The sequence below is a fragment of the Homo sapiens genome, chromosome 2, assembly GCF_000001405.40.
Source record: "Homo sapiens chromosome 2, GRCh38.p14 Primary Assembly".
In the NCBI taxonomy this organism is placed as follows: Eukaryota; Metazoa; Chordata; class Mammalia; order Primates; family Hominidae; genus Homo; species Homo sapiens.
In genome coordinates this window covers 235,704,396-235,722,049 of record NC_000002.12, presented here as the reverse complement: position 1 = coordinate 235,722,049, position 17,654 = coordinate 235,704,396, and the positions used below count along the sequence as shown (strand labels likewise).

General features: G+C 49.1%; 1 protein-coding gene across 5 annotated transcripts in view, besides 1 other annotated feature; it reads right to left on the bottom strand.

Annotated features, from left to right (window-relative positions):
- Window positions 1–17,654, bottom strand: part of AGAP1 (ArfGAP with GTPase domain, ankyrin repeat and PH domain 1) — a 637,751-nt gene that overhangs the window by 409,744 nt on the left and 210,353 nt on the right. For all 5 annotated transcript variants that reach the window (NM_001037131.3, NM_014914.5, NM_001244888.2 and 2 more), the window contains exons 2-3: window positions 12,813–12,871; window positions 4,406–4,493 (exon numbers count right to left, since the gene is read on the bottom strand). In NM_001037131.3, the coding sequence (NP_001032208.1) occupies window positions 4,406–4,493; window positions 12,813–12,871 (147 nt within the window). The remainder of the gene's footprint in view (window positions 1–4,405; window positions 4,494–12,812; window positions 12,872–17,654) is intronic.
- Window positions 12,133–13,332: an enhancer, noted in NCBI's record as "P300/CBP strongly-dependent group 1 enhancer chr2:236617362-236618561 (GRCh37/hg19 assembly coordinates)". NCBI's record gives its function as "activates an origin of replication core promoter dependent on BRD2, BRD4, P300/CBP, MED14 and CDK7 cofactors, with strong dependence on P300/CBP, by STARR-seq in HCT116 cells {active_cell/tissue: HCT116}" and the evidence as "EXISTENCE:reporter gene assay evidence [ECO:0000049][PMID:35650434]".

Below are 17,654 nucleotides of genomic sequence, written 5' to 3'. Positions count from 1 at the left end.
ATTCACTAATTGAAAAACAGTATTTACATCCTTCCCTCATTTGAACTGCATCTTTAAAATCATCTAAATCTGTGAGTTGGCTCTCTTCACTGTAACAATAAAATATCAACCAAAATGCATCACACAATTAAGACAGCAGATGTTACCCTCTGGGATGGAGCTAAAATGCATCTGATGTATCTGCTGAAAAGGAGGCCTGGATCTGGAGACGGCTCTGCACCAGAAATGTTTCTACCACAAGAGAGCTCTCCCCTGAAGACAGGAAGGCCCTCACCACCTCACCCCTCCCAGCAATCTACATATCCCAGCCATGGGTCAGGATTAGAATATAAAGGATATGCACACACTAATTAAATCAGAACCGCACAGACATAGAACAGATTCAACCTCTAAGCTGCAGAAGGAACCAACCCCGTCAACACCTTGATTTCAGACTTCTGAGAACTATGAGAATACATTTCTGTTTTAAGCCACACTGTGTGTGGCAGTTCGTTACTACAGTGCTAGGACTGAAGTACACATACATATATTACACACCTAGGTGTACACACACACACACACACACACACACATAATATTAAGGAATCTGTCAATCCAAGAGGTTTACTCTTTGACTGATTTCATGGAATCACAAGTTCCCTACGGTGTTACCCACTTTTGTGTTGTTAATTCACTAATTGAAAAACAGAATATTTATATCCTTCCCTCATTTGAACTGCATCTTTAAAATTATCTAAGTCTTGGCTGGACGTGGTGGCTCATGCCTGTAATCCCAGCACTTTGGGAGGCCCAGGCAGGTGGATCACTTAAGGTCAGGAGTTCAAGACCAGTCTGGCCAACATGGTGAAACCCTGCCTCTACCAAAAATACAAAAATTATCCGGGCGCGGTGGGGGGTGCCTGTAATCCCAGCTACTCAGGAGGCTGCGGCAGGAGGATCACTTGAATCCTGGAGGCAGAGGTTGGAGTGAGCTGAGATCACGCCACTGCACTCCAGTCTGGGTGACAGAGTAAGACTCCATCTCAAAATAAATAAATAAATAAAATAAAATAATCTAAATCTTGTGAGTTGGCTCTCTTCACTACAAGAATAAAATATCAACCAAAATGCATCATACAACGAAAAGACAGCAGATATTACCCTCTGGGATGGAGCTAAAATGCATCTGATGTATCTGAGGAAAAGCAGGCTTGGATCTGGAGACGGCTCTGCACCAGAAATGTTTCTACCACGAGAGAGCTCTCCCCTGAAGACAGGAAGGCCCTCACCCTCACCCCTCCCAGCAGTCTACATATCCCAGCCACGGGTCAGGATTATGACATAAAGGATACTCACGCACTAATTAAATCAGAAGAACAGGGCACAGACATTAAGAAGCGCAGGGAGAATCCAAGGAACTATCTGGACAGGCAGATACACAGCAAAATGCCTTTCATTCAAAGTAGCTGCCCAGTTGATCGCTCTAGCAGTTGTAAGAGGAAAGGAGGTCTGATGAGAAGGCAGCAGTACACCAAGAAATGGGAAGGCCACAGAGCTCACTCAAAATCCAATCCCTCAACCGGGCGCCAACCACTCCCACCACTGTGGGAGTGCCCTCACCTTTGTGTGGGTAAGTAACCACAGGTGAGGCTGGGCCATCATCAGCTTTGTCAGCCTCCAGCACTCCCCGAGGACAACACATCCCTTTGATAGTCTCCACACACCCAGGTGACAACACAGTAAATTATATCCCAAACCCACAACACTCTATACCTAAAGCTTCTCAATTAAGCAAAGCATGGGTAATTGATCAACACTAACTCACTGGACAAAAATTGAAATCACTTTCCAGGTACAGGCTCCCTGAGCATGAGAGGGAATTTCAGGATGGCAAGACCGTGGTATGAAAGAAACACGGCTTCTCATTTGTTTTCTTTCCCAAACAACAAGTATGGCTCCCTTCATTACAAGTGACATTACAACAAGTTATGGCTCCCTCCTGCCACTGTCATGAGGCACACAGTCACATGAACAGGAAGTAGAAGTCCATTCCCTGGTCTCATTAAGAGGGGCAAAGACAGTGGCCACCTGCTTGGTTCTACACGGGAAAGGTGGCTCAGCCATGAGAAGCATGAATTCAGCAGGACTAAGAAGCTTCCAGGCACAAGGAGCCATGTATTCATAATTCTTTCAGCACCCAGGGGCCCTAGACACACACCCACTGGGGTGCACCTGGGTGTCTGCTGCTGTCAGCTCCTCACACTCCCACAGAACAATCCCTGGGACCTCGAGTCAAAAGGTGAGAGGCCACATGCCCAGGGAGGGCTGCTGCAGGGCATGAGAAAAGGTCAGGGATCATGATCTTTCCCCTGACCCAGGAAGCCTTGGGCATGGGGCCCCATGGAGGGGATGAGCTACTTCCACTTTGCAGATGAAGAAAGGAAGGTACTCACCCACGCTCCTACTCTTAAAAATAATGTATTTTTAAAAACCATACACAATACTATGAAATTTCAGTGCAGTAAAATGCATTACTTGAAAAATCAAAGAAGCAGGGATGTTAGTGATCAGTTTAGGTCACCCCACAATCCTTCCTTTTGATGTATAAACGTTCAAGAGAAATGCTTTGGTGTGAGTCAACATGTAAGGGTCAATTATGCACTGCAAAAGACATCCCAGCTGGGCCCAAATACAATGGAACACACTGTGAATGCCCAAAGGGAAAACAGCGAAAAGCCACAAAAATGACCAAATAGCCATATAGCAGAAAGGCCACCATGAGTGAGTCGTGGTCCTTGTTCTTACTCCAGAAACCCAGGGCCTCCAGCGCTGCCCCACCAGACACCTGAACCCCAGGGCCAGAGACTGCCAGAGCAACAGCAACAAAACCAGGCCCGACTCATGTAACTTCCTGTGGTCCCAGCTTGAAATCCACAGAGTTGCAGGGCCCTGAAAGTAGATTTACTTAGAAAAGGTGGTCATTTCATTTGCAGGTGAGTTAACCTCTGTATAACCTCTACAATAGCTAGCCCTTGAAAATAAGTGGAAAACCCAAAGGAAAAATCTCTAAAAGATTCTCTAAAAGGTGTCACCAGCTGGCCGTGGCTAAAATTCATATTCCGACACAAAGGAGCAAATAAAAGCCGTCAAAACCCAGGGACAGAGCCCTGACAAAATGTGGCCTTTGCTCATTTCTCCAAATCATGCCATTTTCTGGCATCTGTATGCATTTCTCAGTGAACAGGCAAGCTTTCTCCTATTGACCCCTACATACAAGCCTTCATTATCACCTCTAATCTTCCTAGATCATCATTTCAGTATGGAAGGTCTCTTCCTGATGCATGAGGTGTTCATGACATGACTACACAATTCTGCAAAACGGTGGCAGAGCCTCAAGCCACTTTTATACTTCTCCGAACGGTTCCGCAGTATTCAGGACAAGAGTTAAATGCTAGGACAGGTGTTACAGGGAACAGGTGAAGCTGCTTGGGACTACTGCTAAAAAGACAACTAAGGGACAAAACAGGGTGGAATGTTCAACTGAAGAAAAAGATAAAATGAAACAAAACAGGATGGTACACAGAACAAGGAGGGAAGGGAACGCTACAGTACAAAGTGGTGCCTTTCCTCTCTCTCCAAAACAAGACAAGCGCTGCCATGAAGAAAATGAATAGTTACCTGCATCCATATCTGCAAAGAATGGAACAGCCAGTAAGAAAAAGAAGGAACCAGAAATTCAGTGTCTCAGAGTTGGATTTAACAAAGTTACACGGAGAGAAAATTTCATTTAGAAAACTGCTTGTCAACTACACCCCTTCGTTAGGGGACACGGGAGCTAAATGCTTCCTACCATTATCATAATTTTATTTAAGGCAAAAAATAAAATATGGACATGTTAACTGAAGAAGCAAATGCCTAATGGCAAAAAAAAAAATCTTACTCTCATGCAAAATGATTATTAAATGTTTATAATATAAGGGGGGAAACATACTCAAACATATGGTGGTGGTAATCTGAACGTCTTATCCCGGAAGGCTCTTATCTATGACTAAGTAACATTACATACAAATTATGTATAAATTCAATATCCAGATCACAGGAATGTCCAGTCAATATTTAAAGGAGCAACAATGGATAAGAAGGACACTGGATTAAAAAGGACATTTGAAAGGACAGAACAATTAGATAAGAAATAAATTCAATAGTATTTCATGGTTCTACTGCGCTATTCCAGATATCAAAGTGAATATAACGGGTTTGCTAAAAATACTACAGAAGAAACCACATACTTAAGGGTTTTTACCGCTTGGTATGTTTTATTGCTTTCTTGACCTGTGATACATCAAAGTCATGATTTATAATATGCTAAGGAAAAATTTTAAAAAACTACATTCTTAAGTTTGCAACTGCCTGCCAAACAGCATACCTTCCGGAGACTCCTCCTGGACATATGTGCCCGTCAGGTACCGGTGCACCAGGGCAGACTTGCCGCTGGCCAAGTTACCCACAATTCCCTGAAACAGAAACGGACAACCGTTAAGCATCATCAAATCACTCTATTTGGCATTTTGCAAATACTAAGAGGCTAAAATAGACAGGAGGCCTAAACACAAACATAACCAAGCACTGGCTGGATGGCCAAAAACAAGCTCATTCAATACTTCCATTGGAGTAAAAGGGAGTCCAACACTCTTAATTAACATCTCACGTTCTCATCAGCCTCAACAGCTGCAACGGCATCAGCAATGCTGGTATAAACACTGGTTTGGCATTCTTCCAGAAAACAAGCACATTGTTTACATCAGGGCTGTGTTCCTTGAGTTAGCCCGCCGGCATCTACTGTGCACCCTCCAGAGACTGGGAAAAGCAGCAGGTGAGGTGGCACCCGAGGGCAGAGGTGAGTGACGTGGGGAGAGTGGCGAGGACCCATGCATGGTAGCATCTTTAGGGGATGAGTCTAGGGTAGACTTGGGGGCAGGACAACAGGAGCAGAAAAGGGCAGTGTGGGGAGACCTGGGGGTGGAGGAGCAAGGCAGGGGCCGGCCACACAGGCGAGGAGGGCACACACCTGCCTCCCAGACACAGGACCCACCAAGGCATCTCCGAGAAAAAGGGGACAGTGCCAGGGCTGCTGGGAGAGACGGCAAAGGTGCTCGTTTGTGCTGGATTAGAAGGCGACCCTCAGGAGGGAGGGTGACATGAGGGCCTCTGTCCTAGCAGTAACCTGGCGGCAAGGCTGACTTTCCAGGGGATTCTTCACAGGAAGCCTCCCTGTTGACACAGGAGACACACCTGGCCTCCCAGCCTCCAAGTGGCCGATCCTACAGGGAGCCTCCCTTTCCCTGTGCTTGGGAGCTGGATACCCCCCATGCCGCCTTCTCTGGGAAGCTGCTCATCAAAAATCTCCTGCATTTTAACCTTTTCCTCCCCCACTAGAACATCGCTAGTGATCAAATTTAAGCATGATCTAATCGATTCCTTAAAAAGCCCAAAACATCACAAGGCACCCATCCCCAGGCACAGGTGCTCATTAAGGCCACCTGCCATTCCCTGAGCTGGGACTCACCCCGCTTGCTCTCGGTTCCACTTGTTGACCTCCCTCCTGCCTCCACTCAAATTATCTGAAGCTCTGGCCCTGTTGCTACCAGGAAACTGCCCACTAGGTCACCCGCAACTTCCATTTCAAAGCCACTAGCCTGTCTCGCTCTGACCTGGCCCCATCACCAGCAGCTGCTGTTAAGACACTCTCTTCCAACTCTCACACTGGCTTCCGCCTCTACCTCCCTCCCAGCCCTGTGGGTTCTTCCTCCATCTGCAGGGACATACTGGGACTCGCCAGGGCTCCATCCTCACATCTCCAGCTGATCCTCCACTCTAATGTCCCAACATGCGCCTGTCCACATCCAACCTTCTCTCAATGAGCTGCGATTCCATTTAACAGGAGACACCCTGCAGACTCTGGAATCATAACTCATTGATAGAAGGTTGGATGTGGGGGGAAAAAAAAGCTGCCTATTCCCAAATCGCATCCCCTGGCCGCCGTCCACCCCAGCTCCAGGCGCCCCTACTTAGCTCCCACCAGGACTTTATATACATCCGTACGCCACCTATGCGGTATTCACGCCTCGATGGGTCCACACCTTGCCTCTCTCTCCCAGTCTCCTCATCAGCTTCTGAGGCCACATCACACCCAGCCTCTCAAGCCAGAAAGCTGGAGGCCATCCCCGACTCCCAGTGGCTGGAAGTCAGGGAGTCCGCTCCCTCCTGGGCACCTTGCTGCCACCTCAGTGTGGACTCTCCAGTGTGCACGGATCAAGGAAGCAGCCTCTAGGGCCTCTCTCTGCCTGCAAGCACCTGCTTTTCAACCCGAGAACACCAGAGAGGTTCCTAGAAACAAAGTGACCATGAGAAAGTGGCACTCCTTCATTTCATAAGCCGTGGGAGACTCCTGCTGCCTGGAGGCCCAACTCCAAACATTTTAGGAACAAACTGTCTCCTTCCAAATCCTCGCACACAACTTTGCTGGCAGCTAACAGGCCCAGCAGGTCCATGAACTTGCCGCAAGAACACTTCACTGCTCCTGTCACCTGAGCACCCCTCCCCTTTCACCTGAGGAGGGCTTCACTTTCTCTTGGGAAAGCTTCCCTGCTTTCCCCTCACCCCCAGACAGCCTTGACAGTGGCTGGTGAGGCCCTGGGCTCCACCTCCCACTACACTTAGGACCCCGAGGGCCAAGATCTCTGTCTCTGGATACGGGCCAAGACACCAGCTCCGAATCTGTACACTTGTCATAGTCCCTGGCTCCAACAAAGTCCTGGTAAACACAAGATGGGTCGATGGATAGATGGATGACAAGGAAGAAGGATGGGAGGGAGGAGAGATGGAAATAAAGGGGAGAGGAGGAGAGACAGGAGGGAGGAAGGAACGTTGGTTAAGTAGATGATGAAGCCAATAGCTATTAAGAACAAACACAGGGCTGGGCACGGTGGCTCACGCCTGTAATCCCGGCACTTTGGGGGGCCGAAGCGGGCAGATCATGAAGTCAGGAGATCGAGACCATCCTGGCTAACACGGTGAAATCCCATCTCTACTAAAACTACAAAAAAATAACAAGGCGTGGTGGCACACGCCTGTAGTCCCAGCTACTCAGGAGGCTAAGGCAGGAGAATCGCCTGAACCCAGGAGGCGGAGGTTGCAGTGAGCCGAGATACACCACTGGACTCCAGCCTGGGTGACAGAGCGAGACTCTGTCTCAAAACAAAACAAAAACAACAACAAAAAAGAAAACAAACAAACATATAAGAGAACAAATTTGGCATGACAGTGTGGAAAAAAGGTTCTCAGTGATTTACAGGCCACCGTGGTCTGCTGTCTGAGTGATGGCTCATGGATCCAAATGTTCTCTGTCACCCAGTCCTGGCCGCTCCCACTCTCTACTCATCAGCCAGAGTGGCCTTTCTAAAACCTATGCTCGGTCCTGTCCTCTTACACCCCAGTTACAACCCTCCCGCCTCTCATCTGCCCGCTCCCTGCTTGGCCTTCTAGTCAATCAGCTACCAAGCCCCATCCTAACAGGCCTTGCTGTCTCCAGGCAACTAAAGCTTTCCATATCAATCATTCCCCGAAACCTACTCTTACTATCAGTTCAGATGTCACCTCCTCTGACAAGCCTTCAACTATATGGTAGGAATGTTTGTGCTTCCCCGTCCTACCCCCACACTCCCAGCCAAACTCATATGTTGAAACCTAACCCCTGGCTGGGCATGGTGGCTCACGCCTGTAATCCCAGCACTTTGGGAGGCCGAGGCAGGTGGATCACCTGAGGTCAGGAGTTCAAGACCAGACTGGCCAACATGGTGAAACCCTGTCTCAACTAAAAAAATATAAAAATTAGCCAGCTGTGGTGGTGCATGCCTGTAATCCCAGCTACTCAGGAGGCTGAGGCAGGAGAATCACTTGAACCCGGGAGGCAGAGGTTGCAGTGAGCTGAGATTGCACCACCGCACTCCAGCCTGGGCGACAGAGTGAGACTCTGTCTCAAAAAATAAAAACAAAATAATAAATAAAATTTTAAACAAAGAAACCTAATCCCCAAGGTGATTGTATTACGAGGTGTGGCAGTTGTGGGAGCAGATTAGCGCCCTTGTAGAAGAGGCCTGAGAAAGACCTCTCGCGTCTTCCTCCACGTGAGGACACAGCAAGAAGATGCCACCTACGAACCAGCAAGCAGGTCCTCAGGCATCAAATCTGCAGGTGCCTTGATCTTGGACTTCCTGGCCTCCAGAACTGTGAGCTATATATTTCTGTTGTTTATCAGCTGCTCAGTGTATGATATTTTGTTACAGGAGCCAGAAGAGACGAAGACACCTTCCTGATGCCACAGCCTCAACTGGGTGCCTTTCCTCAAAGCTCCCTTAGGTCTCTGCCCCAAGGATATCTCACAAGGGAACACATTATTTTGGAAACATCAGTGTGTTGATCTGGCTTCCTCCAATACTGACAATTCCTCAAGGACAGGCACCTTGTCTCATTTGCCTTGTTCTCTGAATCCCTGCGTAATGCAGAGCCCAAGGCAGACGCTCAAGAGCACGGGCCGAGTAAAAGAACGGATGAGTACATGCATGACTGCACTGCTGGTGAGTGAATGAGATGCTTATTACTAAGGCTCAGAGCCAGGCTCAAGCCAGGCTGTGTGGACAGATTCTAAATAAAGCTGTTTCCCCTCCTAATCCGACGTACATCTTTTTTTACCCTGGGCCTCTATAATCGGAGAATTTCTACCTACTAATTATTCTTTTGCTCAAGGGCACCCGCTTCATGTCAGCTTCATGCTGGGAAAATCCAAAACAGTATGCCACAGAATTAAATTTTTAATTAAGATCAGTTTCTCTTTCTCGAGGAAGAAAATGCTCCAAAACCAAACATCCTTTGGTCTGTGCCTTCTCTGCATAGCAACGTTCCTGCCTTCTTCCACCTAACAAGATGGGCAAAGATTAAGCTCTCCCCTAAGTTCTCCCTTAGGGCAATCAATCTTGGAGTGGAGTGGGAAGGGGTTTGGTTTGGCTGGAACAGCCATCTCACAGACCACCTCAGTCACACACGATGGCATCATTTTAATTTGAAACGCTGGTGGAAATTAACAGTTGATGGTGAAAGGAAAATAAAATAAGGGGTCAAAATGCCGTTTCAAGTGTGTCACGCCACCCGTGAAGCTGTCGGAGCGACTGCTGGAAGTAAACCAAGACGGAGGAAATCAATCCAGAGCGAGCCAAAGAGCTACATGAGGAGGAATGAGGTGTCTTGAAAATCACAGAACTACGTACTTAAGGCAGGAAGAGGTTGCCACTGTCAACCTCTGTGCAGGGGTCACCGTCTGTGCAGGCACATGAAGTGCGTTGGAACCCATACTCGGCCCTTCACATCACAAGGCCAAAGGGAATGCAATGTCTTCCTAAACTGATTTCTCCAGAGCCCCACACTAACCCTGAGGTTTGCTGAAAAGGAAATCAAGGCTTTTAGTAAAAATTCCAGTTGGAGTTCAATGAAAACACACAAATAGGATGTGAGGAGCTGGGGACTGAGGTCCCCTACACAGGCAAGATGTCCAGAGCCTATGTGCCTTCCCCTCTGACAGAAGCATCAAGCTTTTGCTGTTGGGCACACATCTGCAGCCAGCAGCGGTTGGCTCCTGTGCAGCACCAAAAGCAACTGGTCATGGACGATCTGACCACAGCACAACTTCAGAAAACATCAGGCCGGGCGCAGTGGCTCAGGCCTGTCATCCCAGCACTTTGGGAGGCCAAGGCAGGCGGATGACGAGGTCAGGAGTTTGAGCATAGCCTGGCCAACATGGTAAAATCTTGTCTACTAAAAATAAAAAATTAGCCAGATGTGGTGGTGGGTGCCTGTCATCCCAGCTACTTGGGAGGCTGAGGCACGAGAATCACTTGAACCCAGGAGGCAGGTTGCAGTGAGCCGAGATGGCGCCACTGCACTCCAGCCTGGGTGACAGAGTGAGACCCCGTAACAAAAAAAAAAGAAAGAAAGAAAATAAAACATAAGGCATGGTACTACCACTCTTGAGAAGAAAGCGAACATTGAATTTTTTTCTCTGACAGATTTCAAAAGATTTATTGCAAAATGTTACATAAAGGGCCTATTGGAGGCTTGCCATGACATCATGTCACTGCTGCGTTTGTGAAGCAGGGGCTGGGTTCCTGAGACGCTGACCTAAAGTGCCACCTGTCCTGGGGGGGCTGCGCTAGGAGGGAAACAATTGCAGCCCTATAGGCACTTGGAGGCTGCCTAGGGAACAAAGCAGCGCTTTCTTCAGTCCCTGAGCACTCCTCAGCACACAAGGGATCTGCTGGGGGTGCCGATGAGGACGAGTGCCCGCTGATGCCACAACAAGAAGGCACTTGGGCTAGAGCAGAGCTGGTGGGCCTGCCAGGATCTCGTCCATCCACACTCAGGCCAGGGACAGGACCGTTCTGAGAACTGTAGAACCAACAGCATCGAAGCCCACGGTGTCAGCAAATTGAAGCAAGCCTTAAGACAGTCCGTTTCAGAATGAGGAGCCCATGCTGCCTCAAACGCAACTGTCTCCTACAGCTCTGGGCAGATATTCCAGAAAATCATATGCTTTCAAAATACCGGCAGAGCACAAGTTTTTGGTGGTAAGCATCCTCGATTATGGGCTGGTATGATCATGTGGGCCCTCTCTGAACCTGTAACACCTTGAACTGCCAAGTCAGGTGGTTCAATACTTGACGATCAGTTAGTCTGTAATGCTGGCAGTAGGGTGGCCGCTGGCCCTGTGTGGCTATTTCAATTTAAATGAACTAGAATCAAACTTAAAATGCAGCTCCTTGATGGCACTGACTGGCCACGTTTCAATCACTCAACAGCCACATGGCGCCAGCCGTGACGGCACTGGGCAGTGCAGACGCAGGAGGTTTTTACCGTCGAGAAAGTTCTGTCAGGCAGTGCGGTGGTGGAAGCACCAGCTCCAGGCTCACACCTCAGCTCCCCCACTTACTCACTGTGGCTCCTTGGGCAGGTTCTTCATGTCTCTGAGCCTCAGTTTCCTCATCTGTGAAATGGGGATAACCGTACCTATCCCTCCCCATGGGGCACTTGTCAGGATTAAGTAATTTTGTAAAGCACTTAGAACACGACCCGCACAGAGCCAGCGCTGTATCCACACCATCACCACCAGTAAACCACCGTGACTACTGTTCCGTGCCCATCACAGCACCCGAGTGGCAGCGGCTGTCTTAACAGGAAGTAACGGAAACTGCGGGATTGTTCTGAGAATCTCCTGGTAACAGCATTGCCAAGCCTGTGCCATTCATTCAACGCACATTTCCTGGACGGCTTCAATAGGCTTAAGACACCCTGCCAGTGCCGCGGTGACAAAGCACACAAAAGACAGAAAGAGGCGGCTCTTTCCAGGCCAGTCTTGCGGAACCCCAGGCTTCTGAGACAGCACTAGGACTGAGAGACGCTTTGTCTCCCACGGGCAAGTGCTGCAGAGACAGCCCAGAGACCTTCAGGGAGGAATGGGGCGGGGGGCAGACACCGGGAAGGAGATGGGCCCAGCTGATGACACCCCGCGGTTGCGGTGGGGATGGGTGTGTCAGACACCAATGAGAGAGACGGCACAGTGACCACAGGGCCTTCCCACCTCAGGGCACCTCCCACTCATTGTACTTCATTTCCTAAGTTTAAAAACAAATACTTTTCCTGGTGACAAAAGTCTCTTCAAAGACCTAGAAGTTCTTTGTTGCTCTATCTCCTCATCTCAGACATGAAGGACCGGAAGGATCCTGTCTCCTGGCCCTTGTCCTGTCCTCCAAGCATGCAATGAGGTTGGGGTCAGTGGGGAGGAGTCCACGGGCCGCAGGGGATCTGGTGCTATCAATAGAAATGCAGAGGACAGACACACTAGGCAGGCCCATGCCGGAGTCTGCAGAACAGCAAGAGCTCATCTGCTTTGCTTTCACGGTCAAATTAGAAAATACATACACACACATACAGAAATTAGACATATATACATACATACATAGATACCTACATAAATATAAACATACACACGGAAATTAGACATATATACACATATATACATACATACACAGATACATAACCATACACACAAATGCCACATATTTCACGACAAAGAACCTGGTTGTTTCAAAGTTAGACTTGCCCCTTCCTTCCATCCTACGGTAGAGGGGAGCGGCTGGAAAGGGTGGCTGCGATGGACCACTTTTTACACGTGCCAATTTGAAGCTCTACATAATTTCACCGAAAGGGTAAGGTTCGTAAAAGACAAAAATTTTAATTTCATGCCAATACTTGGTCACAGGGTAAATAGTCACATTTCAAAAATGATGGATACCAAAGCTTGGTGACTCATGACAGAAGCCTTCCGTGACATCCTGCAAAGAACAAATCAATCCATGGGGGTGTGTGTGTGTGGAGCCTTCCGTGACATCCTGCAAAGGACAAATCAACCCATGGGGGTGTGTGTGTGTGGACACACACACACCCACGAGATGTGAGAGAGAGGATGATGATGGCCTCTGCCCTGCACATGAGACACCGCCCTGGCTGAGTGGCAGTCATGGCTGTCATAGCTGTCCCAGGGGCACTCAGGAACTTGGACTCTAGTCCCAAGCTATCAACTATACCTGGCCCTTCCCAGGAACACACCCAGAGTCACACTTCCACTCTGGGCCCCAGGCGATGACCAGTTGCCTGGGAATGCAGGCTTGGGTGTGCACAGAGCCCCTCCCTTCCCACAGGTGCCAGGGCCAGAGGGAACCACTCACCACTTTGAGCTCCGGGACAGATCGACTCAGCGTCCATTCCTGGCTGTTCACGAAGGCATCTGAAAAAGAGGAGGACACAAAGTCAGACACCATAACTCACGTAAAGGCCAAGTCAAAATGCCTCCAATGGGCCATTTTCACATCCGAAGGTCACTGAAGATGGTGCAGACAAGCCTCCCTGTGTCACTCTCACCCCAGAAAGATCAGTTTGTCCCAGTTCACGACACTCAGCTAGATGCCAGTGGGGAGTTCCAGGTCCAAGTCTGTGGTCGGTAACACATGCTCTATCCAATGACTTCAAAAGTTACTGAAAATCGAACTTTCCATTTTTCCCCTGCTAAAGCCACAGCCCTTCAGTGGAGCGTGTATCTTCAGACCCTCCTGACTGTGCCTGTTGGCAAGTGTGGAGATATTTGAGGACACACCTAGCTTTCCGAGGAGTGATTCTGTTATAGCCTGTCGGTCCACATTTGGTCTTTTGCTTGTCTACTACAATAGTCATTTTTCTGAAATCCCACACACACAGCAAAAAGTATGATTGAATTTGAAGATTTGAATGCTCACAGTGTAAGTTAACACTTCAGTGTTTGTAAGTAACAGGTTACAGCTCAGAAGAAAGATCTGGTGCTAGAGTTTTGACCCTCACAAAGATATTAAACACTGAAGACCCAGCCAGGATGGTTTAGACTATGTCAGAAAGATGGAGGACTCCTAAGCTCCATGGGGTGGTCTACAGAGCCCAGCCCTCTGCAGGTGCACTCTCCCCCGCCTCCCCTGACTGCCTGTGCACAGTGCACCCACCCGATACAGATGACCCAAACGACCATGGCTTTACCTGCAACCCAGTTTTCCACACCCACCACATGCCATTTCTTATCATAAATGAGACCCCATGATAGTAGTCATCATTTGTCCTGGTGATCACATGGCAGCTCGGGCAACACATGACGAGTGGGCTGGACCAGAGGGAGGAGGTGCATCCCACTGATAGAAAAATAGCTCTTTCCACATGGGATTTACTTCCAATATATTGTCCTCCAATGCTGAAACTTACTCACTCTACATTATGTCTAAGAAGTGACCTGATTCATAAGATGCCTAAAAGTTAAGAAACACCATCACCTTCACAGAACTGTGTGATATGAGGACCGCATGGATGCAGGGCTGGAAGCCAAGGGGCTAACCACACCATGGGTGTGACACAGGAGGGCAAAACCAGCATCTGAAGGAGGCCAGGCACACCCTGGGGAGCACAACCCACCAGGTCACACGATGGGGAGCACGTCCCACCAGGTCACATGATTGGGAAGCACAACCCACCAGGTCACAGGCTGGGGAGTGCATCTCACCAGGTCACATGCTGGGGAGCATGTCCTACCATGTCACACACTGGGGGAGCATAACCCATCAGGTCACACAAATGAGGAGCATGTCCCACCAGGTCACACGCTGGGGAGGGAGCACATCCCACCATGTCACACACTGGGGAGCACGTCCTACCATCTCACACCCTGGGGGAGCACAACCCACCATGTCACAGGCTGGGGAGCACGTCCCACCAAGTCACACGCCGGGGGAGCACAACCCATCATGTCACATGCTGGGGAGCACGTCCCACCAAGTCACACGCCGGGGGAGCACAACCCACCATGTCACACGCTGGGGAGCACGTCCCACCAGGTCACACGCCGGGGGAGCACAACCCACCAGGTCACAGAGTGGGGGGCACATCTGCCCAGTGTGTTCTGGGCGGGGGGGGGGGGGGTCATGGGGAGGGCAACTGTGCAGCAAACCAGATGCCACGGGCCCTGCAATGACAGCGTCAAGGGTCTCCCGATGCCGAGTGAGACATCCCGTCAGAGGAACACTCCCTGCTCCAGGAAAGGACAGCTGGGTAGATCAGGAGGAGATCTGAGTGATCTCTAGAGGGCAGAGACTTTCGGGGCACAACATGCCTGTCCAGCTGGCAGAGCAGACCGGCAGAGGCCCATCTGCAGGAGCTCAGGAGGAAAGCCCAAGAGCCCTGAGGAAGAAGATGCCTGGGAGGCGGACTTCTCCCTGCACTGCCCGCAAAGACTTCCAGTCACTGCCCCTCTACTCTCCTCCCACTGACACGGACACATTGGGAGCTAAATATCGGGGGCGCAAAATTTTGCATAATTGTGCACCCAAACACCACCCCAACATGCTGCAGACAAACATTACCCGTGGACAGATGATGCGAGGAACGCACTAGCGTGGGCCTGACACCCAGCAAGCGCTCAGTCAGGGGTAACTAATTGTGTCTTAATACCATCAGTGAACAGCATTACCAATTAATTTGGAAAACACTTCTTTCTGTTATCGACTACTCTTGCAGAAAAATGGGAATGTGGCCTTAGAGGATCTGCAAAGTGACCCTAATGGTCCAGGGAAAACTGAAAGGTCAATGATGATGACTCCAAAATGCAGGCCCCAATAGTGTCTGGCTTCTCAGAACGTCACTCTGTTGCTGCACTGTAACAAACCACACCCTGGTTAAGTAACTGTGGATATAGCCACATCATGGAATAGTAAAACCAGTAACTGAAGCTCAACATACTGCAGTGGGGATTCCCCAAGTCCCCAGGCTACTATCAAGTGATGACAGCCAGGTGCGATACAGAGATGGATAGGATCCTCACAAATGCATTTCTAAAAAGTGTATCGGGGGTGAGGGGTGCAAAATATGTATACGCTTGGCCGGGCGCGGTGGCTCAGGCCTGTAATTTGGGAGGCCGAGGCGGGCGGATCACGAGGTCAGGAGATCAAGATCATCCTGGCTAACATGGTGAAACCCCAACTCTACTGAAAAATACAAAAAAAAATTAGCCGGGCGTGGTGGCGGGCGCCTGTAGTCCCAGTTACTCGGGAGCCTGAGGCAGGAGAATGGCATCAACCCAGGAGGCGGAGGTTGCAGTGAGCCGAGACTGTGCCACTGCACTCCAGCCTGGGCGACAGAGCGAGACTCCATCTCGTTATTTAAAAAACAAACAAACAAACAAAACAAAACAAAATAAATATGCATATGCTTGTCAAGGCTGAGACTATTTCTGGTAAAATTTCCAACTTAACAGGTGCTGATTTAGGGTTAGGAACTAGATGGCTGAAGTCAAGGGTGATGAGATGATTTTCCTTTCATTGTTACCTTCTGGCACCTTTTAAGGTTTATTCCATTTGGCACATAAGAAATTAAATCGTGAAGTTTTAAAAATGAACTTTAATAGTAAAACAAAGAGGGTAAACTGTGAATTAAAATGAGCTCTATTCATCAATGCACTGCTGATTTTTCAACACATACCACCATAAGATTAACTTTCTAACAATATAAAATATTCATTATAAATTAAGCAGTGCTCCATTAAACAAAGATGCATGATTATATAAACATTGGAACAATGTGAAGCATCTTTTTACTTGCAAATACATCCTCACTTGAATGGAACATATTTGTGTTTGTGGCAATAAGAGTAATAAAATAAATGCTTGACTCAATTGGCCAAAACTCTTCATCTCCCATTAAAAAGTATTTATTTTAAAAACTTTCATCAACTCTGTTACCGCCCAGTCAAAATGGAATGCTGCCTCATACAAAGCTAAACGAAAATTAACAAAACATTCGCGAAAGCCATGCATACCAAAATAGTCCTTCCTCCTACTCCACTACAGGGACCTATCTGTGGGCTGGACACTGTGCTGGCGTGGAATTGTTCATCACTCAGTAGGTGGGGTCGAGGAAGGGTGGGGCAGGGTCCAGGCCAGCTGTCCTGCTTCCTTCCAAGGTGCAGGAACACTGGAAGGATAAATATGCTTCAGGGAAACACAGCTGGGCATATGCGCATGAGTGTGTGGATGCACATCCGGATGTGTGCACACCTGTGTTCCTGGACCAGCCAGAATCCAGTGGCACAGAGGATGTAGCTCGTTCTCAGAAGTGTCTGGGCCAGGCGTGGTGGCTCACGCCTGTAATCCCAACACTTTAGGAGGCCGAGGCGCGCAGATCACCTGAGGTCAGGAGTTCAAGACCAGCCTGGCCAACATGGCGAAACCTCGTCTCTACTAAAAATACAAAAATTAGCCAGGCGTGGTGGCACATGATTGTAATCCCAGCTGCTCGGGAGGCTGAGGCAGGAGAAGTGCTTGAACCCGGGAGGTAGAGGTTGCAGCGAGCCGAGATCCCACCATTGCACTCCAGCCTGGGCAACAGAGTGAGACTCTGTCGCAAAAAAAAAAAAAAAAAAAAAAAAAAAGAAAAAAGCATCTTGTATTTTACAATCGACGTTGGTGATAGTAATGATCCTTCCCAAGAACTAGACAGGTGCCGGGCTCGCCGACCACTGCAGCCCTTCAGGACAGGTTCTCCCTGCTGCTGCCTCTGGACACAGCGGGACACTTGGGAAAGTCCCCCTTGACCTCCTTGGCAATGCCAGATTCTAAATCCCTCCCTCATTATCTGCTGTGTTGCTCAGAGCCTGCTCGCCCTAGACTAACCTGGGACGCTTAGCAAAGCCAGCAACAGGTGAGCATCAGCCGGGACTCTGGAAATCAGAACCTTCAAATCGGCATTTCTTTTTTGAGACGGAGTCTCGCTCTGTTGCCAGGCTGGAGTGTAGTGGCGCGATCTTGGCTCACTGCAACCTCCACCTCCCGAGTTCAAGAGATTCTCCTGCCTCAGCCTCTCGAGTAGCTGGGACTACAGGCGCCCGCCACCACATCTGGGTAATTTTTGTATTTTTAGTAGAGACGGGGTTTCACCATGTTGGCCAGGATGGTCTCGATCTCCTGACCTCGTGATCCGCTGGCCTCGGCCTCCCAAGTGCTGGG